This window comes from Homo sapiens, chromosome 2 (assembly GCF_000001405.40).
Source record: "Homo sapiens chromosome 2, GRCh38.p14 Primary Assembly".
NCBI lineage: Eukaryota > Metazoa > Chordata > Mammalia > Primates > Hominidae > Homo > Homo sapiens.
Window position 1 is genome coordinate 75,007,722 of NC_000002.12, and position 27,319 is coordinate 75,035,040.

The 27,319-nt window shown below is 41.4% G+C and overlaps 1 long non-coding RNA gene across 1 annotated transcript; it reads left to right on the forward strand.

The window, feature by feature from the left end:
* The first annotated feature begins 3,767 nt into the window (after nt 1–3,767).
* LOC124907850 (uncharacterized) lies at nt 3,768–25,480 on the forward strand. Its single transcript, XR_007087110.1, has 2 exons — nt 3,768–17,044; nt 22,539–25,480. It is a non-coding gene; the product is annotated as an uncharacterized LOC124907850 (long non-coding RNA).
* The last annotated feature ends 1,839 nt before the right edge of the window (nt 25,481–27,319 follow it).

Consider the following 27,319-nt stretch of genomic DNA (forward strand, 5'->3'; position numbering starts at 1 on the left):
AGATGTCTAATGAGTAAATACTTCACTTGACAGATATGCCCTCACCACAACCTCAAAATTTCCTAAAAGAAAAGAAATCCACCTTACAAGCTAAGCTCTTGCATATGAAGAAGAAGTCCCTGAGGACTGGGAATAGCTAAGAAAATCTCTGCTCTTTTGACTTTCACCATGAGGAGGGGAATGATTGCATTATGGGTGACTTGGGTGCTTCAAAGCAAATTATCCTATTTAACGCCAACCACTTCTTCCCGGCTGATTAGCTTTCTCTGTCCAATTCCCACTGGAGTGCTCACCAGCTGGGAACTGTGCGCCATCTGCTGAGTTTCAGGCAGGCTGAACCAATAGGCAGATGCTCCATCCTAGAAAGAGAGAGCAAGGCAACTTGTTTCTGGGAAATTCCTCACAAACCTCCTGCCTACAACTACAGAACTGGGACACGTAAGCACCCCAGAATCAATCAAGGAGGTTCCAGGCCTCCTGGGGTACCTTAGGAGATGCCTGTCTAAGGCCAGAGTGGGTGGCTCTGTGTGTTGGTGTGCAAGGCTCACACCTATATGCGTTACCTGGGTCCAACCAAAGTGTGGCCCCTCAGGTCACTGAGGGGTCCTGGCTGGGTTCAGGCTGGGGCTCCTGGTCTGAATCCCAGTGGGACCTCAGCCCAAACCCTGCACATCTGCATTCACCTCTGATGACCTGCAGACTGAAGCCAGAGGTAGCATACTGCCTGGGCACTGGAGGGAAGCTGCTGCTGCTACAAATCCCCACTCCATCTTCACCCTGAATGTCCTTCTCACTGAACCTTCTTATCCCATCGTGTCCTTGCACCCTTAGCACAGGGTTCAATACGACCATGGCACTCTACTCCCCATTATGCAAGCTCCTCCCTTTTCCATCCACTCATGTTTCTACTCCTCAGTCTTTAGCTGCCTGGCTCTCCATCTTACCAGGTTACCAAATCAAGAACTCCTGTTTCTCTCCATCTCTTCAGATTGATTGACTCAGTTATGAACTGTTTCCCTTGCTCAGGTTCTTTTTGGAACACAATGTCTCAAATTTATACATTATCCCCATGCTCTAATCATTAATAAAAAAAAATCACCACTTTGCCTGGATTTGGTTTGGGCAAATCCACCTTTTTTTTTGTGGCTTTCCTGTAGTGCTGGAGATCAGGCAAAATTGACTTTTGGGACTTGCAAGGGTAAGCGTCTGTTCCTGGATCCTGGGGATCCCACTAAGGTGTTACTGGGTGAGGAGGCCTTGTTCACCTGCTCCCTTGTTCATTTCTCTCTTCCTCTGGAATTTAGTCCAGCAAAAATAAAACTGTGTTATGAGCAGCAAGAGCATCCATGAGATTGAAATACTGTCCACAGCTGTCCTGTTTACATGATTAATGAGAGAGCCTGTGCCTGGCTGGATATGATGAGAATTCAGGATTGGCATGGAAAAGGAAGCTGTAACAACAAAGAGAGGCAAGGGATAATCTATCTCTGGAGAGCAATTATTTTAGAAAAAATAGTACATGAAAATAAAGCTATATGCTCACTGCCTTCCACTTCGGGTCAAGTAGCCTGAGGGAGTTGACCATTCTTGGTTTTAAATTCTTTAGATAACTAGGCACATACACCTGGAGAATAACAAATGTCCTTTTTAAAATGCCACTGCTGGCCAGGCACAGTGACTCACGCCTGTAATCCCAGCACTCTGGGAGGCCAAGGCGGTCGGATCACGAGGCCAGGAGATCGAGACCATCCTGGCTAACATGGTGAAACCCCGTCTCTACTAAAAAAAAAAAAAAAAAAAAAAAAAAAAAAAAAATTAGCTGGGCGTGGTGGCACATGCCTGTAGTCCCAGCTACTTGGGAGGCTGAGGCAGGAGAATTGCTTGAACCCGGGAGGCAGAGGTTGCAGTGATCTGAGATTGCACCACTGCACTCCCGCCTGGGCGACAGAGCAAGACGCTGTCTCAAAAAAAAAAAAAAAGCCACTACTCCCTCTTGGTCACTACTGGTGGCAGTGGACACTGCTGGAAATGCTTTGGGAGGCAACTAGGCCAAATGCACCAGCAGCTCAAAAAATATTTACAGTTTGTGACACAGAGATTTCACTTCCAGGAGTAAGTCAGAAGGAAAAATCCCAAATAAGGGGAAAAAAGTAATAAACACAAAATTGTTTACTGCAAGCCCATTCTATCATAGGAAAACATTGGAACCAACTTAACTACTCAATGATAGAAGGATGATTAACTCATATTGCATTCCCCTGATCAAATATTATGAAGTCAGGAAAATTTTAATTACAGAGATGACAGCAACATAGGAAAGTAATGATATAAAATTTTATGCACACTTAACTGTAGTGCCCTAAAAATATATGCTCATATAATCAAAGATACATAAAATGGGAAATAGCTGTGTTAAGGTGGTAGAATTATTGTTAGTTTTTTCTTTTTATATCCACCCAATGTAAAGTTATTATATGTCCCTTATAATACATAATAAATACATAAAATGCAAATGGTTAACAAATGGGGCAAGAACTAGCATTAAGGGGCTATTAAGTTTCAGGTATTATTTATATATGTGTTATCTAATATAATTTTTATTTCTGTCCTAAGCGATGTCTCTTTTTGAATTTTTACATATGGGGAAACTGAGGTTGAGAGAAGCTGATTGAGGGTGAATAGGAGGTGGAAAGAAAACAGATAAACATTTAGCATGATTTGGAACTTGTCCAGCAGCAGGACAATTAAGAAGTAGCAGGGATTAGAGAGCCCATTCTACTCACTGGCAACATGGGATGGTGAGGGCAAGTTCTCTCCTCAGCTGTTTTTCTCGTGCTGCTGTCCCGGCAGGGAATTGAGGGATGAACTATTGTAGTATCCAATGGATCCAGGATTGCTGCCCATCTCTGCATATTCTAGAGGTCCTCCTTCCCAAATGGGTGACATCCTGTTGGGCATCATTTCAACACTCGGGGAATAGGATGTGGTTGTGAAGCCCACCTGAAGATTCTCAAACACACATTTCTTGGGGATGCCCAGAAGAGGTGATGCAATAGGTATCCTAAAATGTCTAACCAGGGGTTCATGGAGTGTCAATTATGGGTCCAGTGTAAGAGGGGAAAAGAGTGAGCAGAGGAGGGAACTGGGGAGGTGATGACAGAGAGAAATGGAAGGACCCAGGGAAGTCAGAGAGCAGATGCAGTGAGAATAAGGGCACTGGAGAGCTTGAAGGACAGGAAATCATGGCTGGTGTTAACGTTTCCAGAAAAATGACATGTTCCAGGGTACAATTTGGAAGTGTGTGCCTGTTATGGACTGAATAGCAACCCCTGCCAAATTCATATGTCAAAGCCCTATACCATCCAACGTGAGCATATTTGGATATTGGGCCATTAAGGAGGTAGTTAAGGTTAAATGAGGTCAGTTAACCCCAATAAGGGTCCCTCATTATTGTGTCTTTAAGGAGGTACTTAAGGTTAATTTAAAGGGTGAGACCCTAATTAAATAAGGCTCTAATGGGAAAACATAAAGTTTTTTTTTTTTTTTTTTTTTTGAGACGGAGTCTAGCTCTGTTGCCCAGGCTGGAGTGCAGTGGTGCAATCTCGGCTCACTACAAGCTCTGCCTCCCGGGTTCACGCCATTCTCCTGCCTCAGCCTCCCGAGTAGCTGGGACTACAGGTGCCTGCCCCCATGCCCGGCTAATTTATTTGTATTTCTAGTAAAGATGGGTTTCACCGTGTTAGCCAGTATGGTCTCGATCTCCTGACCTCGTGATCCGCCTGCCTTGGCCTCCCAAAATGCTGGGATTACAGGCGTGAGCCACTGCTCCCAGCCTGGAAACATAAAGTTCTTATAGAGAAAGAGACACTCAAGAGCTCTCTCTCTCTCCCCACATGCACAGAGGAAAGGCCATACAAGGGCAGAGAGAGAAGATGGCCAGCTATAAGCCAGGAAGAGAGCCTTCACCAGAAACCAAATTGGTTCGCATCTTGATCATGGACTTCTAGCCTCCAGAGCTGTGGGCAAATAAGTGTCTGTTGTTTAAGCCACTCAATCTGTGGTATTTTGTTATGGCAGCCTAATCAGAGTGGGGTGGGGGAATCTATAGAGCTAAGATAGTCAAACTGTAAGGCTGATGTGTGGAATGGTTCACCTATATGAATGATAAAAATGCCCATGAAGGCCGGGCATGGTGGCTCACATCTGTAATCCTAGCACTTTGGGAGGCCAAGGAGGGTGGATCACCTGAGATCAGGAGTTCAGGACCAACCTGGCCAACATGGTGAAACCCTGTCTCCACTAAAAATACAAAAAATTAGCCGGGTGTGGTGGTGCATGCCTGTAATCCCAGCTACTCTGGAGGCTGAGGCAGGAGAATTGCTTGAACCCAGGAGGTGAAGGTTGCAGTGAGCCGAGATCGTGCTACTGCACTCGAGCCTGGGTGACAGAGCCAGACTCCATCTCAAACAAAACAAAACAAAACAAACAAAACGAAACTACCCATGAAGATGATTATAAAATGAATCACAATGTTAGCTAAACTTACTGGGCACTTGTGGGCCAGGAAATCAAAGTACTTTAAATGCATTAACTCCTCTACCAGTCCCATGATATAGGTGCTACTATTTCTTACCCACTACACGTGTGAAAGCACTGAGGCAGAGAGAAGTGAAGTAGCGTATCTAAAGTCACAGAGCTAGTCCGAGGTGGGGCTCGAACCACACACATAGGCTGGAGAGCCCACACCCTTAACCACTTTTCTGTATTGGGATGTGGGAAATGTTACAAATCAAGGGCCAAAGAAAGGATGTACTCAGAGAGGTGAAAGAAGAAAGGTTTCCCAAAGTAATCGGTCAGATCAGCTGACAACTCTGGATGCTCAGTGGGTGAGAGATGTCAGAAGATGATCTCCTTTCCTCACATCCAGAGGGAGATGAAAACCTGTGGTGTGAGTTTTAAGGGATATAGGATTTTTGTATGGGAGTGGAAGAGAAATAGTGTGGCAGTAAGAATGGGGTACTGAGCTCTGTGGCTATGTTCATACCTAGCAAGCTGCATCCACCTGAAAAGGTTGTGATGTGGCAGAAGGTCCGTGTTAAAAGTAGGTGCTGGCTAGAGAGGGTGCCTTCAGGATCTGCTGCTGCCTGCAGAACTGGAATTTCCTCCTGACCCACCTCTCAGGGATGGCCTGAGTCTCCAGCCCTCACCAATTCTTAGGAAAAGATGAAGTTGTTCTTAGTTGTAGCAGTCTAGATCAAATCAAGTGATGTAAAACACAGTAGCTTAAGCAGAAGCTTAATATGAGAATTATTAAATATGATAAAAAGAGGCTGGGCACGGTGGCTTGCACCTGTAATCCCAGCACTTTGGCAGGCCGAGGTGGGTGGATCACTTGAGGTCAGGAGTTCGAGACCAGCCTGGCCAACATGGTGAAACTCCGTCCCTACAAAAACTACAAAAATTAGCTGGGAGGCGCATGCCTCTTGTCCCAGTTACTGGGGATGCTGAGAGAGGAGAATCGCTTGAACGCAGGAGGCGATGAGCTGAGATTGTGTCACTGCACTCCAGCCTGGGCGACAGAGTGAAAAAAAAAAAAAAAAGAATCACTATAAGATATAAGGAAACTATATAGTACCCTAGGGCTGAGAGAGAGTACCCAAGAAAAAATTAAATTGGAAAGGTTTCAGATGTGATTGAAGAACATGTGATTTAGTCCACCTGACAGGAGAAATGTATACTGGCTTTCCCAGTCTGAAGCTGGTCTGGAGTTGCTGAGTGAGCAACAGGCCACCTTCTGAAATGCAAGTACAGGAGCAGGCAATTAGCAACTGGTGGCAAAGGCATGCAGTGGGAGTCTGGGCACTGACAGGCAGGAGGGCTTCAGAGAATGTGGCATTCTCTGAAATTTACAAAATTTGCTCCTCATCTCATCATCTTCTGAGGGCCAGGATTGGGGAATTCATGTGGACATCCTAGAGATATTTTGTGATAAAAATGTGAGAGTGTGGAATCTTGCACTGCTCACGAATGGGTTGCACCTTACAAGGGGTCAACAAGATTTCCAATGGAGATGATTTGATCATGAGAGGAAAATCCAAGGACCAACATTTCCAAATGGGAGGGGACACAGTCTTAATTTTGGCATTCCTCCTTTATGGCTCTCTGATAGTCCCCTGCCACCCTCCCTGTTTGTTATGGGGTTAAGTGATGGAAGCAGGGACAGACCAGGAGGGGGCTGTGCTCTGTGAACAAAGGCACAACCTTGTAAATTTAAATAAAATAAAACCAACTCTGAGTCCCCATCCTGTTGGATGAGAGGGGAATTGTACTGTAGGGCTTTCTCCTTCAACCCTTCTTTGCCTCAGAATGGTATAAAGGTTCCAGGGGCTTTATGAAGAATAAAATATTTGAGGAGGATTATGAGGGTTTTGGCTACTGTTGAGTGCTGTGGGGTTTTTTTTCTCTCTCTTTTCCTTTTTAATAAGTAGATAAATGGGGGAAGAAAAGGCTAAACTAATAAGAAAGAATAAAGTGTTTCACAATTGTTTTGAGGGTATTTCTCATAGTCTATTTGCCTAGAAAGCAGAACCCAAGGTAAAAGTTTATGGTGTAACTAATAAACTGAATTCAACAACACCTTAAAAGGATCTTACACCATGAACAAGTGGGATTTATTCCAAGCATGTAAGAATGGTTTAACATATGCAAATTGATAAATGTGATACACCATATTAACAAAATGAAGGATAAAAATCATATGATCATCTAAATAGAGACAGCAAAAACATTTGACAAAATTCAGCATCCTTTTATGATAAAAACGTTCAATAAAGGAGATATAGAAGAAATATGCCTCAACATAATAAAGGCCATATATGACAACCCCACAGCTAACACCATACACAACAGTAAAAAGCTGAAAGCCTTTCCTCTAAGATCAGGAAAAAGATAATGATGCCCACTTTGGTCACATCTTCTTTAATGTAGTATTGAAGGCCTAACCAGAGCAATTAGGCAAGAAAAAGAAATAAAAGGCATCCAAATTGGAAAAGAAAAACTAAAATTTTCTCTGCTTGCAGATGGCATGATCTTATATATAGAAAACCCAGAAAAGCTCTACCCCCAAGCTACTAGAACTAATAAACAAATTAAGTAAAGTGGCAGAATACAAAATTAACATACAAAAAATTAGTAGCTATACATGAACTATACATTAGTTTCTATACACTAACAAGGAACTAGCCCTTGAAAGAAATTAAAAAAATGATTCCATTTATAAGAGCATAAAAAAACTTTGGAATAAATTTAACCAAGCAGGTGAAAGCTCTATACATTGAAAACTATAAAGAACTGATGACAGAAATCCAAGAAGTCACAAATAAATGGAAAAATATCCTATGTTCATGAATTGGAAGAATTAATATTGTTCAGGTGTCTATATTACCCAAAGCAATCTACAGATTTAATGCAATCCCTATCAAAGTTCTAATGACATTTTTTCACAGAAATAGAAAAAACAATACTAAAGTTTATACGGAGCCACGAAAAGCCAAGAGTAGCCAAAGCAATCTTGAACATAAAGAACAAAAGTGGAAGCATCACACTACTTGATTTCAAAATATACAACAAAGCTATAGTAATCAAAAAAGCATGTTACTGGCATAAAAACAGATGCATAAGTCAGTGGAATAGAACAGAAAGCCAAGCACAGAAATAAACTCACATGATTATGATTCATTAATCTTTGACAAAGGTGTCAGGAACACACATGGGGAAAGGATAGTTTCTTCAATAAATGGTTTTGGGAAAACTGGATCTCCCCATGCAGAAGAATGAAACTGGACCCTTATCTCATACCATTTACAAAATTCAATTCGAAGTGGATTAAGACTTAAACATAAGACCCCAAACTGTAAAACTAGTAGAAAAAAAATAGGACTTCTTGATATTGGTCTTAGAAATGATTTTTTGGATGTGATTACATCCAAATGGGATTACTTCAAACTAAAAAGCTGCTTCTGTGCAGGAAATGAAACAATCAACTAAGTGAAGAGACAACCTATGAATGGGAGAAGATATTTGTAAGCCATGCATCTGATAAGGGGTTAATATCGAAAATACTTAAGGAACTTACACAATTCAATAGCAAAGAAACAAATAACCTGATTAAAAATGGGCAAAGGACCCAAATAAACATTTTTCCAAAGAAAACATAAAAATGGCCAACAGTTATATGAGAAGGTGCTCAATGTCACTAAGCATCAGAGAAACGCAAATCAAAATGACAATGGGATATCACCTCAAACATGTTAGAATGGCTGTTATCAAAAAGACAAAAGATAGCAAGTCTTGATGAGAATGTGGAGAAAAGGGAACCCGTGTACACAGTTGGTTGCAAAGCAAATTAGTACAGCTATTATGAAAAACAGTATGGAAGTGCCTCAAAATTTAAACATATAATACCATATGGTCCAGCAATCCCACTTCTATGGTATTTCAAAGGAAATGAAATCAGTATCTCAGTGAGATATCTGTGCTTCCATATTTATTGCAGCATTACTCACAATAACCAAGATGTGGAATCAGCCTAAGTGTCCATCAATGGATGAATGGATTAAGAAACTGTGTACATGTATACCTACAGCGGAATATTCTTCAGCCTTAAAAAAGACGACAATTCTGCTATTGTGACAATATGAATGAACCTGGAGGACATTAAGCTAAGTTAAATAAGCCAGGCACAGAAAGACAAATGCTGCATGATCTCATGGTTAGGTAGAATCTAAAAAAGTCAAACTTATAGAAGCAAAGAGTAGAATGGTGGTTTCCAGGGGCTGGGAGTTGGGAGAAATGCAGAGATGTTGGTCAAGGGTACAAAGTTTTAGTTAGGCAGGATGAATAGTTCTGGAGGTCTAATGCATAGTACAGTGACTCTAGTAACCAATGCTGGATTGTATACTTGAAATTTGCTGAAAGAGTAATCTTAAATGTTGCTACACACAATAATAACTAAGATAACGTATATGTTAATTAGCGTGATAGTGGTGGTAATCATTCCACAATGTATATACATATCAAAGCATCACATTTTATCCCTTAAATATATATAGTTTTATTTATTTATTTATTTTTTGAGACAGGGTCTTGCTCTATTGCCAGCTATGCTGGAGAGCAGTGGTATGATCATGACTCATTGCAGCCTCGACCTTCTGGACTCAAGTGATCCTCCTGCCTCAGCCTTCTGAGTAGCTGGGACTACAGGCACCCATCACGAACTGGCTCATTTTTAAATTTTTTGTAGAGATGAAGTCGTCTATATTGCACAGTCTGGTCTCAAATTCCGGGCCTCAAGTGATCCTCCCACCTTGGCCTCCCAATGTATTGGGATTACAGGCATGAGCCCCTGCACCTAGCCTACACATAATTTTTATTTGTTAATTTTACCTAAATAAAGCTGGAGAAGAAAAGCTTATGGCTTTATATTTTGTTTAGGAATGCAGACCAGTGGTGTCCTAGAGCTAGCTTGAACTGCCTCACAAAAGCTGATCATTTAATTTTCAGAGACTGTTGTTAAACACAGCCATTTAATTTTTAATAATTAAATTACATAAACGTACAATTAGAAGAAATTATATTAAAAACAAAAGCAATAAATACCCAAAACTCATGACTCCCTAATTATTTGACTATATTTTTCTATTATCTATGCTTTTGAGGTTATTTACATTTATTATGGATATACCAAAAAAATGTAGTATCAGAGCAACTCCACTTCCAGTAACATTATGTTGTTAGGTTGAAATCAGACATTTTGGGAGTACTGTACATCACAGATAGAGGCAAAGGCTACAAATCAGGGCTTGATTTGTCTTGTTGATTGTATAGAGTTAAGAAAGTAAAGAAGAAAATGTTAATATTACAAATTAAACTTAAAAGCATGTCATGTTTGGAGCCGTTATGTTAGGAATACTACGTAAAATGGAAATGTTCTTCCGGAATGTGAAAACTGTTGTCCAATACAACAAAGAAATTGTTCATGCCATGACGATTACAGTTCAGTCACATGTCTTTGTACTTTCCCTTTCATCTTACTTATTAATTTAAACGAAAATATCAGCCAACATTTACATTGGAACTACACTTGAGAGCCAGATATTAAATATTCACCAGCACATTACTGGCACAGGCCCCAGGGGCCAGGAGTGAGGGAAAAAGGAAGTGAGGTAGGGAAAGAAACAGTGCAAATATAAGGAGGTGTGGGTTCACATCCAAAGGAATTGAAAACAGGATCACAAAGAGTTATTTGCACACCCGTGTTCATTGCAGCATTATTCACAACAGCCAAGAGATGGAAGCAACCTACAGGTCCATTGATGGAAAAATGAATAAAGAAAATGTGCTATATATACAGGATGGAATACTATTCAGCCTTAAAAAAGAAGAAAATTATGTGATAGGCAAAAACACAGATGAACCCTTGAGAACGTTAAGGACACTGGCTAAGTGAAATAAGCCAATCACAAAGACAGATACATACAGCATGATTCCACTTACTTGAGGTATCTAAAGTAGTCAAACAGAAGTGGAAACAGAAAGCAGAATGGTGGTTGCCAGGAACTGTAGGGAGGGGGATAGAGGAGTTGCTGTTCAGTGGGAACAGAGTTTCAGTTCTGCAAGATGCAAAAGTCCTAGAGATCTGTTGCACAATGATGTGCGCATAGATGACACTGATGTATTGTAAACATTTACAAATAAGATGGCAAATTTTATGCCACTTAACTATATGTATTATATATATTTTTATACATGTATTATATGCATTTTACTACATAACATACAGAAAAGAGGAAAAAAGAAAAGAAATATAAGGAGGCATATTATTGATCTGGTCTCAGAGTCTTAAGGGCAGCTAATTGTGTGGTTTTGTAGTATACCTTCCGAGTTTCCAAATAGTCCACCTGGAGAAGAAAGGGAAAAGAAGTTATCTCCCAGCTCCAACCCCACTTTGTCTACCAGTGATCAAAGTCACTCTAGGGGGTGTAACCTCACCGTACCCCTGGCTACGTCACCAGAAGTTGGCAGGTTTGCAGGTGCAGCAATCTTTCTTAGTCTGCTCTGTGCATGGGGCTTCTCAACCTGTGGCTGTGGTGGCAGCAGCAGTGACCTGGCTCCATGATCATAAGCTACTTCTAGGGCCAGAAAGCAAGGCATGTGCATAGACCTGAGTGGCATAGATACTGAGCCTAGTACAGTGATTCCCTGGGTTCTACATTTAAGCTGAAATCAGGAAAGGAGTTTTATGAGGACACTGTTGTTTGTCACCAGAAATAGGGAGGAAAACAGAATTGCAAATTGGCATGTAAGAGTTTTATTTATTTATTTATTTATTTATTTTGAGGCAAAGTCTCGCTCTTGCCTCCCAGGCTGGATTACAATGGCGTGATCTCAGCTCACTGCAACCTCCGCCTCCTGGGTTCAAGCAATTCTCCTGCCTCAGTCTCCCTAGTAGCTGGGATTACAGGCGCCTGCCATGAAGCCCAGCTAATTTTTGTATTTTTAGTAGAGACGGAGTTTCACCATGTTGGCCAGGCTGGTCTCGAACTCCTGACCTCAGGTGATCTGCCCGCCTTGGCCTCCCAAAGTGCTGGGATTACAGGTGTGAGCCACCGTGCCTGGCAGCATATAAGGGTTTTAGTTGAGGAAGCCATTTGTCAAAAATGCAGACAGGTGACAATGACCTAGGTAATATATTTTCTGCAGAGGAAAAGCATTTTCATAGTATCTACTCAGAGTTCCATACAGCAAAATAAAGGCCAGTACTATTGGTGACTGTTGTACTGTGGCTGTAGTAAGTAGTTTATAAAACTCAGCTAACGAATGGGAGAAAGCTACATTTATTAAAAGATCATGATATTGATAAGAATGCATTTTAATTTTCAAGGTATCATTTCAGAGAGTGAATTTATCTGCATAAAGAGCTGACTGGAACGTAGATTTTATTATTCTCCACTATTGGGAAATTGGCAATGACAAGTAGGGTCAAATCCCCTTTATTTATATTGCATTTATGTTGTGCTTTGGAGAACAGATTGTCACATTAATTAAGCTGAACAAATTCTTGTGAAGAGGACTTACTTTTATTAGCGAGCACTTATTAATCACAAGGCTTTCCTTTCATCTAATCAGTTGTTACAACTACTCTCCTGGTGAAGCAGTTTTTATTTCCCTTCCTATTCAGCAGTGAAGAAATTGACTCAAGGTCATCCAGATAGAACTACACAGAGGAGACATGACATTTTTCTTAACAACGGTTTAGGATCTTGTAGCAAGGGTACTCCCTAGAAGAGGAAAGCAATTATTAAGACAATAAAATTGTCATGAAGGTGCAATTTGTCTCCTCTGTGCTTTCTGTTCCCCAGTCCATCTCAACTCCCTAAAGTTTGAATCCCTTTAGCAACACCCTCAGGGACCTCTGACGTCTCCTCACTTTACCATCCTCAGCCCTTGCTCCCACGCACGTAGCTTGACTATCTCTGGACAGCGTCCACGGTCAGACACAACCTGTGCTCCTTCTTTGTTGCACATCTCTGATGATGACAGTATAGTAGGTCATGGGTTAACCCTAGAAAAAAGTCCCTTTTATATCTCTCAGAAAGCAAATTAGTCCATAAGTAACTCCAGGCACGTTCTCAAGCCTGGGTGAGATATTTATGGCTGGTTGAAGAGAAGAACATCCAATGCCCCTATAATGGCTGCCAGGGCACTCCCCATCCCATCGCTCTCCGCTGCTGTCTTATCCCCTCGCCTTTACCACTTTACTGCACCCTGGTCTGACATCTGACTGCCAGCGCCTGCATTTCCGAAATTGTGGGTTTTTCCCGTGGGAGCTGCAGGCCAGCAGCGCCCCTACCCTCAGCAGCCTTCCACTGATTGACAGAAGTCGGTGTATGTGAATACCCCAACCGCTCACCCTGGGGGTGGGACAACCCTGAGGCCCACGCTCTACACTGGTCTCAGAGTTCCACAGCAGAATCAAGCTCCAGTTGCTTATGTATTAGCTTGCTTGATAATAATCCTTTCACTGACTTCCTTCCTTGCTCATCTCACTTCCCTACTCGCCTAATGGTGCTATCTGGGATTGCCTCCCCAATAAAATACTTTGCTTGGGGATTCTTGCCTCAAGATTGGCCTCTGGAAGGAACCCAAATAAGCAGACTCCAAAATTGTAGGACAAATTTGAACTGAATATAAGACCAACCTTTACTTTCAAAAGAGCCCTGGAAGATGGGGTATGAAGTTTGGCTGAGCTCTTTCTATGCTTGTTGCATGACTTTGATTTGCCTGGAGCTGAAGGGACTCTGGATGTTCCAGTTCTCCACACCTCATTAGTTTTTCAAAGTTGTTTCACAAAGCCAGTAGTTCTCTATTTTTATCTATGTTAGCTCTTTTTGAGATAAAGTTTAATTAATGTATTAGATTCTGTGAGAGAAGCAATGAGCCTGAAATTTAATGAGTTAATCTTTTTTCTCCCTTTCTTTTCTCTAATAATGGGAGCATGTTGGCATTTGGCTAAGTTCCATACAGTTTGATATGTAGTTGTAAATACAAAAATAGATGAACTAAGTACCTAGCTCCCCAAGTTAGAAGAGATGATGGCAAAATACATTTAAGGAAAGTAGGAGGAAAACACAATAAATATAAAAACAGTGATTATTGAATTAACACCCACAAAAAGTATAGCATTGATAAATCAAAGAGTAGGCTCTTAAAAAAAGCAATAAGTTATATAAACTTCTGGCAAGTCTGTTCAGGAGAAAAAAGAGAACACAAGCAGATTTACCTATATACTGTACATCACATTAATGAATCAAAGGATGCCTTTTTATCACAGCTGTTTTTCAGCATTGTTTAGGAAATTATGCAGAATTACCCTAACTTCAATCCAGTAGCACAGGTTTTCCAAGCAGTGGTGGCTGTGGAAGGTCTGGGTAGGAAAGGATAAGAGAACACAGGCTGTGGCATGGGGGTGTTGGAGACAGGACTGCCATTGTCCTGAGGCATATTAGTGGATGTTTTGCATATTAGTGGATGTATAATAGTGATGAAAGGTTGAATAAGTTTAGCTAGGATTCTTTATCACATGACTTTTCAAAGCCCTCAACACTCCAATGTAAGCAGAGAACCTACGAGAGGGAGATAAAGGATCCAGCATTTTTCAAATTCATGGAATGCTAGGGCCCTGTGGACTGTGGATTACACAACACTGTGCTAGGGGCTGTGGTGAAGCAAGAACTGAAAAGCAGCACAAAAAGAACTATAAATTTATTTACAAAAATAGATCATTAATTTTGTTTGCTAGAGAATATGATCGTTTCTCTAGGAAGTGTAAGAAAATTAATTGAAAACCTATATGACCAGCTACAACATAACTATGTACAAAGTAATAGCTTTTCAACATGCCAACAAACACCAGGTACAAATAAAATAGAAAAAAAATTATATTTAAATACCATGAAACTATAAAATACTTAGGAATAAAATTGACAAGAAATACACTGGATCTATATGAAGAAAGTCAAAAAGTGTTCCTGAAAACCATAAAACAACAAATGGGGAGCTTTTTCTATGTTTTGAAGATGTTGGTTTCCCAAATTAATCTGTGGATATCATATAGACACAATTAGAATAGTGATAGAAATTTAAAAGGAATTTAAACAATTATCTAAAGTTAACTAAAAGCTTTCTACTTTCGTGTTGCATTTTTGAAATAAAAATTCGTATTTATTATTTTTGCAATGAGATAAAAATTATTAAAACATGAGAAATACTCTTAAAATATTTAAGCAAGAAGTAATATAGGAAGGACTTACCTTACTAGATGTGAATATAATATATGAAAAGACTATAAAAATGTAACAAAGTTTCATGGTACTGAATTAAGACCATGTGATAAAGAATAGACGCACACTCTAGAAGACTAAATAGCTTAAAATGTAGCAAATGAGTCATCACAAATCTATTCCAAAGACATGAATTGTTTAATAACTGGTGTTGAGAAAATTGGCTATTTTCAAAAGCAGTTAACTTAGAACCTCACTTAGAAGTGTATGCAAAGCTTTAAAAAAAACTTGAAAAAAACCAGCAAGGAAGAGATTATGTATTTAATCTCTAAATAGGTAAAAAAAAATCCCCCAGTAGAAAACAGAAGGAATTACAAAGAAAAAACACGTAGAATTGATTACATAAAGTTTTAAATTTTCCACTCTTCAAAAACGATGTAAAAATGAGAAGGAAAACAACAAATGGGGATTATAAGTTTTAATCATTTAAGCCCTCATAAAAATGATTTAAAAAATTCTGAGATCTCAATGAACAAAGAACAAGAAGATGGAAAATTCAGAAAGGAGAAATTATAAATGACTAATACATATATTGTAAAGCTTTATTCACTTTTTATTAGAGACAGGGGGAGTAGAGGGAGCAAGGATTTGCTATATTGCCCGGGATGGTTTCGAACTCCTGGCTGCAAGTGATCCTCCTGCCTCTGCCTCCCAAAGTGCTGGGATTACAGGTGTGAATGACTGGGGCTGGCCCTAAAACATTTTATATATCGCCTGTATTCCCAGCACTTTGGGAGGCCAAGGTGGGGGGATCACCTGAGGTCAGGAGTTTGAGACCAGCCTGGCCAACATGGTGAAACACCATCTCTACTAAAAATACAAAAATTAGTTGGGTGTGGTGGTAGATGCCTGTAAATCCAGCTACACAGGAGGCTGAGGCAGGAGAATCGCTTGAACCCAGGAGGCAAAGGTTGCAGTGAGCCGAGATCACGCCATTGCACTCCAGACTGGGCGCCAAGAGTGAAACTCAGACTCAAAAACAAAAGAAAAGAAAAGAAAAACAAAACGAAACACATTTTATATATCAACTTTAGTGTTAATCAAAGAAATGCACAATAAAGCACAGTGGATTGCCAAGTCTGGTTGAAAATTGGAAGCTGTATCCTCTCTCAGACAGAGATGGCCTGCTTGCTCCAAGCATCATGCTGGGAAGTGCTGAGCAGCCATGGACCACATTTCCCACACAGTCAGGTGCCACCCTGTGCCTGCGTTCCAGCCAATGGAGAGTTGGTGGAACTGATGTAAGCCTTTTGTGGACTGGGCCCCTAAAAGCCTCCCGCATAGAAATACATCATGTTTTTTGTTCCTTCTGGCTGGCCAGAATAGAAGGCAACCCCAGGATAACCTTGAAGCCAAGTGTTGAAGAAAGCAAAGCCTTGTCAATTCTGGGTCCCTGAAAGACCCAGATAGATTGGAGCCTGCTTATTATTCCCATATCCACTACTGTAATGAGAACAAGAATAAATTCCTGTTGTGTATGAGCTACCATCCGCTTTGGGGTCTATTTGTTACAGCAGTTAGTCTACCATACCACTACTGCATCCCAGGATGCTTTGGCCCAGTCTTACTCTAACAAACTGGGTGCTGCCAACACATGGGGCTTTGTGGGCCATATGGTCTCTATGGCAACCACTCAACTTTACCATTGCAGAGGAAAGCAGTCTCAGACAATACTTAAATGAATGGCTGTGGCAGTGCTTCAATAAAGCTTTACTTACAGAAACAGGCAGCTGGTAAGATTTGTTCCAGGTGGCTGCCAGGTCTCTGCTGTATCCCTTTACCCTGTTTTATTTTCTTTCACAGAACTTACTGCTACATGATGTATTCTATATTGAAGCTCCCTGAGAAAAGAGATGTTTTGTGTCTCATTTATCAACATATCCCCCGCATGCAGAATAATGACTAGCTCATAACAGACCTTTGATAAACATTTGTTGAATAAATGATCATAAGGTTTTGGTGAAATCGGTTCATTCATCCACTGCTGCTATAATTGTTAATTTTAGTATTTTATTTCTGCAAAACAATGTGGCAGAACTTATTGAAAATGGTATTCATTAATTTTAACTTTTTCACTTCTAGGAAATAACCAGGAATGCAAAGAGCTTATCACCTCATTATTTACAACAGTGAAAATGGAAAAAGTAAGCCTAAATCGGGTGATAGTTAATCAAATTATAGTAGACACCTCTAGACATATTTTGAAAATATAAAAATTATTATACAGAATTTTTAATGACAACAGAAAAATGTTAATTTTAACGAAAAAAACAAAACTATAGTGTGTTTCTGAAATGTATATATAAAAAGTGTTGCATCAAACGAGAAGAGAACATGATGATCCTGTTCCTTTGTCTGTGTTTGACTGAGTCTTCATGAGTCTTACACCACTCAAGCAGTGGACACAAAATTAGCAATAAGTTTTATCTGGTTTGTGAGTGTTAAATGGGGCATTCCTCCCTCTTCTGAGCTAAATCTTGGGGAGGTAAAATGAGAATACATCTCTTAATTTTTACTCTTTCTCTTTCTTCCCCTCCCCACAATGCCTAGGGCCCTGTGAGAGGCAGGTGCCTCCCTCCTTCCTATGCAGATCTTTACTTTGTGGCCCAGTTAGTCAAGTCTTGCTCTTGATCTGAACTTTAGGATAATGATGCCTAATCAGCTTTAAGTGGCTACTAGTTCTGTGCTGTGAGGTTGTCCCCACCATTATTCCTTTTAGTAAAAGTCTGAGGATGCTGCAGTAGTGTGTGAGTGTTTTGGGGGTGGGCATGTGCATGGGGGATATACATAAGATGGGAAGGTGATGAGCCTTGGGTTCTGAGCTTTGATCAGGAGCAAAGTGTGCTGATCAGAAATCCAGAGTTGGAGGCCCAGGTTCAGAGTCAGGGAACAGCAGAACCAGATCTATCTTGGGCTGTCTCAGCAGTGGACATGAGCTAAACCTCTACTTCTCCCAAAGACATAGTTCTAGGAAAAAGTGAACCCCTAAGGATATTGAGGAAGGTGAGCAAGATCCTGTGTTTATGTGAGATAGAGGGCTGGTCATTTTATTTTGATATTTCATGGGGATATCTGGGTTATACTTGCATTTCCATACACTTGTACATCTTGTTAGCCTGCCTGGAATGTCCATGGTCAGGTAGTATAGAATAGTATTTAGGCATGAGGACTTCAGAACCAGACTGTCTGGATTCCAAGCCCAGATTTATCACTTCCAGAACTTGAACAAATTTGACTCTTTCAAGTCTCAGTGTTCTCATCTGTAATATGGGGATGGTAAATAGCTCTTGCTTTATGTAGTTGCTGTGGGGGCTAAATGCGATAATGGGATGATGGTGTGAGTGCTTAGTGTAGAGCCTGATGCAGAGTAGGAATTCAGTAAATGCCAACTACTGCTATTATCATTCATTTGTCTTTTCCTTCTTTTTCACTTATGGGATCCTGCTCATTCTTTAGGCTCAGCTCAGATGCCAGACTTGCAGTTGTCCTTTCTTTCTATTATTATGTGCCTTGTGATCTCACAAGTTCTGTGGCTTTAAATACCATCTATAGACTGATGCTGAGTCATCTTCATGCTGACCTCTGTCTGGACCATAGGTTCCTACAACTAACTGCCTATGTGATGCTTCCACTTGGATGACTCTAGGCATCTCTAACTTGAAAGGCCTCAAACAGAATTTTTGATCCCCTGACCCCAATATGCCCGTTCTGCAGCCTTCTCTATCTCAGAGGATGGTAGCTCCATTCCCCAGTTACTCAGTTCCCAAATCCTGCAGTCATTATTGACTCCTCCCTCTCTCTCACACCAAACTGCAGTCCACCAGCAAATCCTCTTGTTTCTGCCTTCAAAATACAGCTGGAAACAGACCACTTCTCTCCACCTCTGTACGTCCCCCTGGTCCAAGCCCCATCACTCTCACTGGGTTATTGCAGGAGCCTCCTGACTGGTCTCCCTGCTTCTGCCGTTGTGGGTCTACCAGCTATTCTCACATTTCGGTCAGAACCGTCATTTAGAAGTATAAATTGTAGGGCATCATGCCATTGCTCAAAAAACACCCTGGCTTTCCATCTTGCTTGAAGTAAAGACTCAAGTCCTTAGATTGGCCTCCAAGGCCATATATATATAGTTTTGTTGTTGTTGTTTGTTTGTTTGTTTTTGTTTTGAGACACAGTTTCACTCTGTTACCAAGGCTGGAGTGCTGTGGCGCAAACTCAGCTCACTGCTATCTCCACCTCCTGTTCCAGCGATTCTAATGCCTCAGCCTCCCTAGTAGCTGGGATTACAGATGCCCGCCACCAAGCCCAGCGAATTTTTGTATTATTAGTAGAGTTGGGGTTTTACCATGTTGGCCAGGCTGGTCTCAAACTCCTGACCTCAGGTGATTTGCCCGCCTTGGCCTCCCACAGTGCTGGGATTATAGGCGTGAGCCATTGCACCTGGCCCAAGGCCTTATATATTCTAACAGTAGTACCTCCCCCCAGCAACATGGATGACTCTCACAAATATAATGACTGAAAAAAGCCAAACACAAACAAGTGCATACTGTCTGCTTTTATTTATACAAAGTTGAAATTAGGCAGAACTTATTTATGGTGTTTGAAGTCAGGATAGTAGTTCCCCTTGGGAGGAGAGATGTTGAAGTGATTGGCAGGGGCTGAGGGGAGGTCCTAGGTGTTGGTAATACTCTATTTCTTGATTTGAGTGGCTGTGTGGTCATTTTGTGATAATTCACAAGCTGTGGCCTTACAATCTGTATACCTTCCTGTAGGTTTGTTATAGTTCAAGAAAGAAGCTTAAAGCTGCAAAATTGGGTTTGCAGATCTATAGGTAGAAAGACTCCTCTTTTTGTAAATTCCCAGTGAGGCACTTGAAACTCTGCCCTGGTGACTTCTGGGCATCAGCCTGTAGGTTAGGATTGGCAAGTACGTGTTGCATGCCAACTCCGATCAGTTAGTGGTGACTGCCTGGAATGCTGCATTGTGAGGGGTTTTGGGTCAGTTTCTGGGCTCAACAACAGCAGAGTGCTATGACTGAGAAGAGACCTCTGTCATGGTGGAAGGAGAGAGAACTGGCTGCACTGTGCCTAGTACTAGCCAGTCCTGTTGATGGTGTCGTCACGTACCAGCTACTTTCTTGCTTATAAAACACCCTATTTTGTACCAACACAGGATGGACCTGAGGTTTCAGAAGCACCACCATGTGCCATAGACACTCCTTTGCACCTCTCTGCCTATGGTTTCTTCGGTGATCCATCATGTTCTAAACCCCATCTGCCTCACTCATCTCAAGCAGCACCTTCCATCCTCTAAGAACTGTGAGGTTCTGGTAGCACCACCCTGATTGGCAGGCATTTACCATCTCATTGTCCCTGCATCCAGCCAGCCTCCAGCTGCCATACCTGCTGCCCACAGTCAGGCCCCTGACCTCACACCGGCTGCCGTCACAACCTGGGGCAGCCAGGGGGCTCTGGCACTGCCACCAGAGACTGGTAGATGACCACCTGTGGACCCAGAGGACAGCAGTGGGTAGAACTCTGCAGGTGGTCTGAGCTCCAGTGGCCTGTTATACCATAGTTGTCCTTAAGCCTCTTTTCACCTCAAGTCAGGGTGAAATGGATGCTGACATTGTCTTTCTGTCCTGCAAACACAAGAACCACATTTCCATCGCTGTGTTTTTACACTTGCTGCTCCCTTTGCACAGATCATTCTACACGTGGCCATCTCCTTCTCCTCATTAGGTTTCAGCCTTAAAGTTGCTTTCTCAGACAGACCTTCTCTGACCACTCTCAGTCATTCACTTTCACATTTATTCACTCAACAAATATTTGTTGAGTGTCTACTCAGCGCCATGTGCTGTTCTCAGTGCAATGGTGCAGCCGTGAACAAAGATGAAACCCCTCTTCTCTATGGACTGTCCCCATAAGGTCGGGCGGAGTCAGATAGTTCAAAAGTAAAAAAATAAGTATACAGTGCATCAAGTAGTGACAAATACTATGAATTAAATGAAAGCAGAATCAGGGGAGAAGAAATAAGAACAGGAATTGGAGCCAGGGCCATTTTAATAGGGTTGTTAGAGGAAGCTACCTTGATAAGATGACAGTTGAGTAGGAAATGGGTAAGCTGAGAGAGTGAGCAAAGGGAATGTCTGGGAAATGGTGTTCCCAGAGAGGGAACAGCTGGTACCAAGGCCCTGAACTGGGAGTACTCCTCTCCTGAGATACCCTCTGTCATATCATCCTGTTTATTTTCTTCCTAGTACCTTTTACTGTTTGAAATTATTTATTTATTCATTGACTTACTGTTTTTGTGTTACATTAGGGAGGCTCTATGAAAGCAGGGATCTTGCTGAGTGTTCACTGCTTCATCCCCTAAGTCTAGTATAAAAATACGCCCAATAAATGGGAATCACTTGTTGACTTCCCATGTCAATTAGTGCAAGCCACAGGAACTTGCAAAGAAAAACAAAAGAAAACCGAAAGAAAGTTTTGGAATGAGGTGAGCGCTCACAGAATTATAGGCAAAGCCGGAGAATAGACAACCAAGCCTTGGAAAGGAAAGGGCAGAGGCCAGGTGGTCCTGGGGATCTGGTTGCAGGAATGAGTGGATGTCTCTGCAGAGCTGTGTGCAGGAGGTGACTTAGCTCCCCTGCTTTCCCCACTGTGGCTCTCCTCTCAAGAATCCAACAGGCTAACCAGGGCTGGCTTCAGGGGTGTGTACCTGTCTTCAAAAGGCCCCTGCTTAGTTTAATGCACAGCATTAAACTTGAAACTCTTAATAACTGTTGAGCAAGTGCCCTTAATTTTTTTTTTTTTTTTGCACTGCAAATTGTGTCTTGGGGCCAGCTGGGCTCATGTACCCTCTCCCTTCCCCTCAAAATCTCCCCAAAGGAAAATGGAGAAGAGCTAGCTGGATTGGGGTGGGGAAATGGCAAATATAGCAGCCATCCCAGAATTCTGTTAAGCATTGGGTTTGTTGGGAGATGGGGGAAGTGGAATTGGCCATCCATTTCTAACTCAGGAGGCAAATCTCATGCCTGTTTCCATTCTCACCCACAAATGCTGTTTACACCATGAAGAGATAATTGTACTTGTGCGCAAGGAGCAAATAACCTACATATTTACCCAGAGGGGGGTGATTAAATAATTTGTGAAGTCTTGATGTTACGTGGCAATTAAACAGTGATAAATCTGTTTGTACTGATATAAAAATATATTTTAGACATATTGTTTAGTGAAAGGGCCACAGGATAAAATTCAAATAGGATGTTTCTGTTTACACAAAAAAGCCAAGCTATTTATATATTTAAATGTAGAAGTAGAGAAGTATATATATGCTTGTATTTAAATATACATGTATCCATAGACATGTGTATACATTTAAAGTATATATCTGTATTTTAAAAGCAGAAGTAGATAAGTATATATATAAATACTTTATATATACATAGCTTATATATATATGTATAATATATACCATGTGTATGTGTGTATATGTATATTGTGTATGTATTTAAGTGTAGAGTAGGGAGGACTGCACAGGGACCTGTTACTAGTGTTACCTCTGAGGTGGGGGTATTGGTAATGTGCATGAAGGGTAGTATTTAATTTAACATATTCTCCTTTCTTTAAATTTCCACAGGTATATGTTCATGTATATGAAAACCTCACGTGCAGATCATGCACTAGATCATGCATACATGGCCCTGGGTCTTCATGGAGGCCTAGGCCCTGCACCCAGCTCAGGTCCTAGCTGTACAGCTCTCAGAGTCAGAGTAGGAAACCCACTTGCTTCCTCTGAGATGAGCCATTTGTGAGACTGGCATTTTGTACTCATTCATACTTGTGGTCAATGTACCGTGTATTTTTTGAGTGCTAGCTATGGGCCAGGCCCTTTTCTAGCTGGAGGATAACAGCAATTATAAGACTGGCAAGATACCTAGGTATATACTGGAGCTTTTTTTCCTACTGGAAGAAGAGAGTAAAAAGTAAGACAATTTCATGTCATAATAAGTGCTAGGGAAGCTGGGATGGGGGAGCTCCTACTTTGGTAGGGTCTGGGAGTACTCCCCAGAGAGCTAATGGGGAGCTGAGAGGGAACCCACTGCCCACGTATGGGGATCTGGGAGAAGTACACCCCATAGTGAGTGGGGGTTGGAGAGAAGACAGTATGGGGTGAGTGGGTGAAAGATTGGTCAAAGGCAGGGCAGAGCCCAGATCTACAGCACCTTGTGGGTTGTGGCTGAGAGTTTGGATTTTATTCTGAGAGCAGTGGGAAACCACTGAAGGCCTTTAAGCAAGGCAATCAAAACATGACCTGATTGATATTTGCAGAGGTGTGTTGAGAATGGATTGTAGAGCTGGAAAGCAATCAGGGAGACCATAAGGAGCTGTTACAAGTTCATGGTGAGTCTCCCTTCTTTTTTGGGGGTCTTAACAGAAAGAGTTGAGGATTGGGGGTTGCAAGATCACATCAACTAGAAAGAGATTCCAGGGATGAGTGTGAGTCTGAGACACACGATAACCCTCTTCCTTCCACACCAGCATCCTGCTGTCCTCTATCTCAACAAATGGCTCCACACAGCCACCTCGGCCAGAAAACTGGCTTGCCAGATATCTTCCGTTACCTCTCCAGAGCCTCTCTGTCTTTATCCTCTTCTGCATCCAGGTGGGTGCTATATGGACCACACCAAAGGACTCCCTTGCTTTCTGGCTTCTGGGAGGGGTCAGCCAATGGGGAGTCCTATAAAGAAATAAGAAGAAGGGAGGAGAGTGAGAACTGGATATTTTTCCCGCAGGCTCATGCTGCTGGTTTGCCTCTCTTTGGCTGTGTTGTTCAACCAGAGGTCACTGTTTCTCTCATGGCAGCCCTTGTTACACAACGCCGTCTTTCTAGGTCAAGTAACTGCTGCTTTCGCTTGTGCCTTCAGGCCTATGGGTGGTATAAGCTCCACCTCTGGGGACTGCTTGATCTCTGTGGCTCCCCTACACCCTGTCCACACCTCTCTCAACAATGCCTTTATTAATCCTCTTGATGTTCTAATTTGATTTTCTGTTTTAGGTCCTGTCTGATATATGTGAGCATCATCCCTGATTCTTCTCTCATCATTTTTCTTTCGCTAATCTATCACCAAAGTATAAATAAAATTTTTTTGTCTTTTTATTCCAATCTCAGAACTAGTGTCCTAACTCAGGCCATTATCATCTTTTACTGGGATTTCTGAAAAAGTTTTCTAACTAGTCTCCTTGCCTTCAATCTTGTCTTCGTTCAGAAATTGTTTCCATTGTTGCTAACAGATCTTTCTAAGATGAAAACCTGGACTGGGCACGGTGGCTTAGGTCTGTAATCCCAGTGCTTTGGGAGGCCGAGGCAGGAGGATCACTTGAGCCCAGGAGTTTGAGGTTGCGGTGAGTTATGATCACTTTGCTGCACTGCAGCCTAGGCAAAAGACTGGGGCCCTATCTCAAATAAATAAATAAATAAATAAATAAATAAATAAATAAATAAGTCAAATGAAAGCCTGATCATATTTCTCTGTTTAAAACCTTTGAATGGTTCCTCATTGCTCTTAAATAAAATTCAAACCCCTAAGTGAGGATTTCTAGGACTTGTACTACCTGGTCTCTGCTTGTATCCTGGCTTATTACTTCCCATCTCATACATTTTGACCTAGCCCCTTAAACTGCTTACAGGCCTCAAAACTTCTGTGCCTTCTCTTACCCCTGGGCCTTGTTTAACTTGCAACCAGGAAGTGCCAAGGCAAAGAAGACAGTGCTAAGTCTGTGGCCAATGCACAAGAGGCTTTTGCCACCCAGGGAGGCTGTATTGCTTTTGAATAAACTCATCTTTCAAATTAGAACTGCCATTTTCAGCTTAGGTGCAGCCCTCACTCTAAAGATAGTCATCTTGGGTGATCTCACATCCTGACATTCACAGACTTCTGTAACACTCAAAAGTTATTGGACAGAATTTCTTCAAGGAAACAGTGAGACCCTCTAGACCTACACTGTTCGATACAGCAGCCACTAGCCACATGTGAGCACTGAGCACTTGAAATGTGGTTAGTGTAGTTTAAGATGTGCTGTAAATGTAAAATACCATTATGATTTGAACATGTTCACAAAGTTCGTGTGGTAGCAATTTAATCCCCAGTGCAACAGTGTTGGGAGATGGGGCTAATAAGAAATGATTGTCGTGACAACTCTGCCCTCATGAATGGAGCAATGTCATTATCACAGGAGTGAGTTTGTTATGAAAGTTTGGCCCTCTCCTGTCTCTCACCCTCTCTCATCTTTCCACCTTTTGTCGTGGGATGACACAGCATGAAGGCCCTTGCCAGATGCTGGTGCCATCCTTTTGGATTTCCCAGACTCTAAAACTGTGAGCCAAATAAATTTCTGTTTATTATAAATTATCTAGTCTGTCATATTCTGTTACAGAAATATAAAATGGACTAAGACAAATCCACACTGGATTTTGAAGATTTAGAATGAAAAAAATGTAAATATCTCATTAATAATGTTTAAATTGATCACATGTTGAAATAATATTTTGATAGGTTAAATAAACATATTGTTAAATTATTTCTGCCTACTTCTTCTTAATTTTTTATTGTGGCTACTCGTAAATTTACAGTTGCATGTGTTGTGCAGTGCTCCAGATCCTACAGCTCCTCACTTTTCTAAGTGTGGTCTGTGAGGCAGCTCCAGCAGCATCACCTGGGAGCTGTTAGAAAATCACATCTCAGGTCCTATCATGAATCTACTGCATCAGATGTTGCAGTTTAACCAGATGTTCACGTTATTTACACACACACTGGAGTTGAGAAATGCTGGTCTATAGAGAAGGGGTGGGATGAACAGAGCCTTACTCATTCTTTCTGGATGCAGATACTTCTTACACCTCCTAAACCAAAGGCTACAGGTGTGCCTTTTGCTTTAAGGAGAGGAATTAAAAAGAAAAGAAAAAGAATGAAAATCTGGAGTATTTTGTTAGATTAAAAAATTCTTTAAACCAGATACAAATTCCTAGATCCTAATCAAGCATTCTGAGCACAGAGGTTTAAGAGGAAGTAAATTTAACAAACTGACAGTTTTTTTTCTTAAATTACAAGTTCATAATAAATCATCCTCATCAGTTGAAGCATAAACTTTTAAGGAAGTAATTAAAACTCTTTTGGAACTCTAATAAAGTCCGAGATTCTGAGCAATCAAAATTTAGATTGCAAGCACCATTGCTGAGGATGGCTAGAACCATTAGAGTGATAAAGGGGTTCACGTCATTCTGAGTTCTAGGTCTGCATGGAACTACAGCAGGAATTGGCTAAGAAAAGTCTGATGAGAGACACAGAAAGAAGTGCAATTACTTTGTGTTTAAAGTTTCTTTTTTGATGAAATTCAAATAGTAAATGCCATTTGTTATTAAGCTTTAAACCACATGTCTCAAGAAATTTTAAGTGTCATATGACCACATTTCTGTGGTCACCATAGCTGCTAAAATGCAATACTTGGCCAGGCACAGTGGCTCACACCTGTAATCCCAGCACTTTGGGAGGCAAAGGTGGGTGGATCACCTGAGATCGGGAGTTCAAGACCAGCCTCGCCAACGTGGTGAAACCCCGTCTCTACTAAAAATACAAAAAATCAGCTGGGTGTTGTGGTTCACACCTGTAATCCTAGCTACTTGGGAGGCTGAGGCAGGAGACTCGCTTGAGCCTGGAAGGTGGAGGCTCTAGTGAGCTGAGATCATGCCACTGCACTCTAGCCTGGGCAACAGAGTGAGACTTTATCTCAAAAAATAAATAAAATAAAATATTTGGCATTTCTAGACCCATTGCTTGACGCCCACTGACAATATCATATCCCATTAGATAAGAGAGTTGTAATAAACCTTTTTATTCTGAATACATTATTATTATTATTATTTTCTTATATGTTGACTCTTATGAGCAGCTGTACTCATTTGCCAGAGGAAACAGAGTGTGATAGTTGCATAATTCTTTGTTCCTCTGACCCCTAGCAACACATGCATGCTTAAGGTTAAAATATTTTATAAATAAAATATTTCCCTTAAATAATGTATTCATATTACAGCAAAGGGCACTGAATAGGTGCATATGTACTAAGATAGCTGCTTCTGGGATGAATTCTTTTTTTTTTTCCTTTTTTTTTTGAGACAGAGTTTCACTCTGTCACCCAGGCTAGAGTGCAATGGCATGGTCTCAGCTCACTGCAACCTCTGCCTCCTGGGTTCAAGCAGTTCTCCCACCTCAGCCTCCCGAGTAGCTGGGACTACAGGCGTGTGCCACCACACCCGGCCAATTTTTGTATTTTTAGTAGAGACGGGGTTTCACTATGTTGGCCGCGCTGGTCTTGAACTCCTGACCTCGTGATCCACCTGCCTCGGCCTCCCAAAGTGCTGGG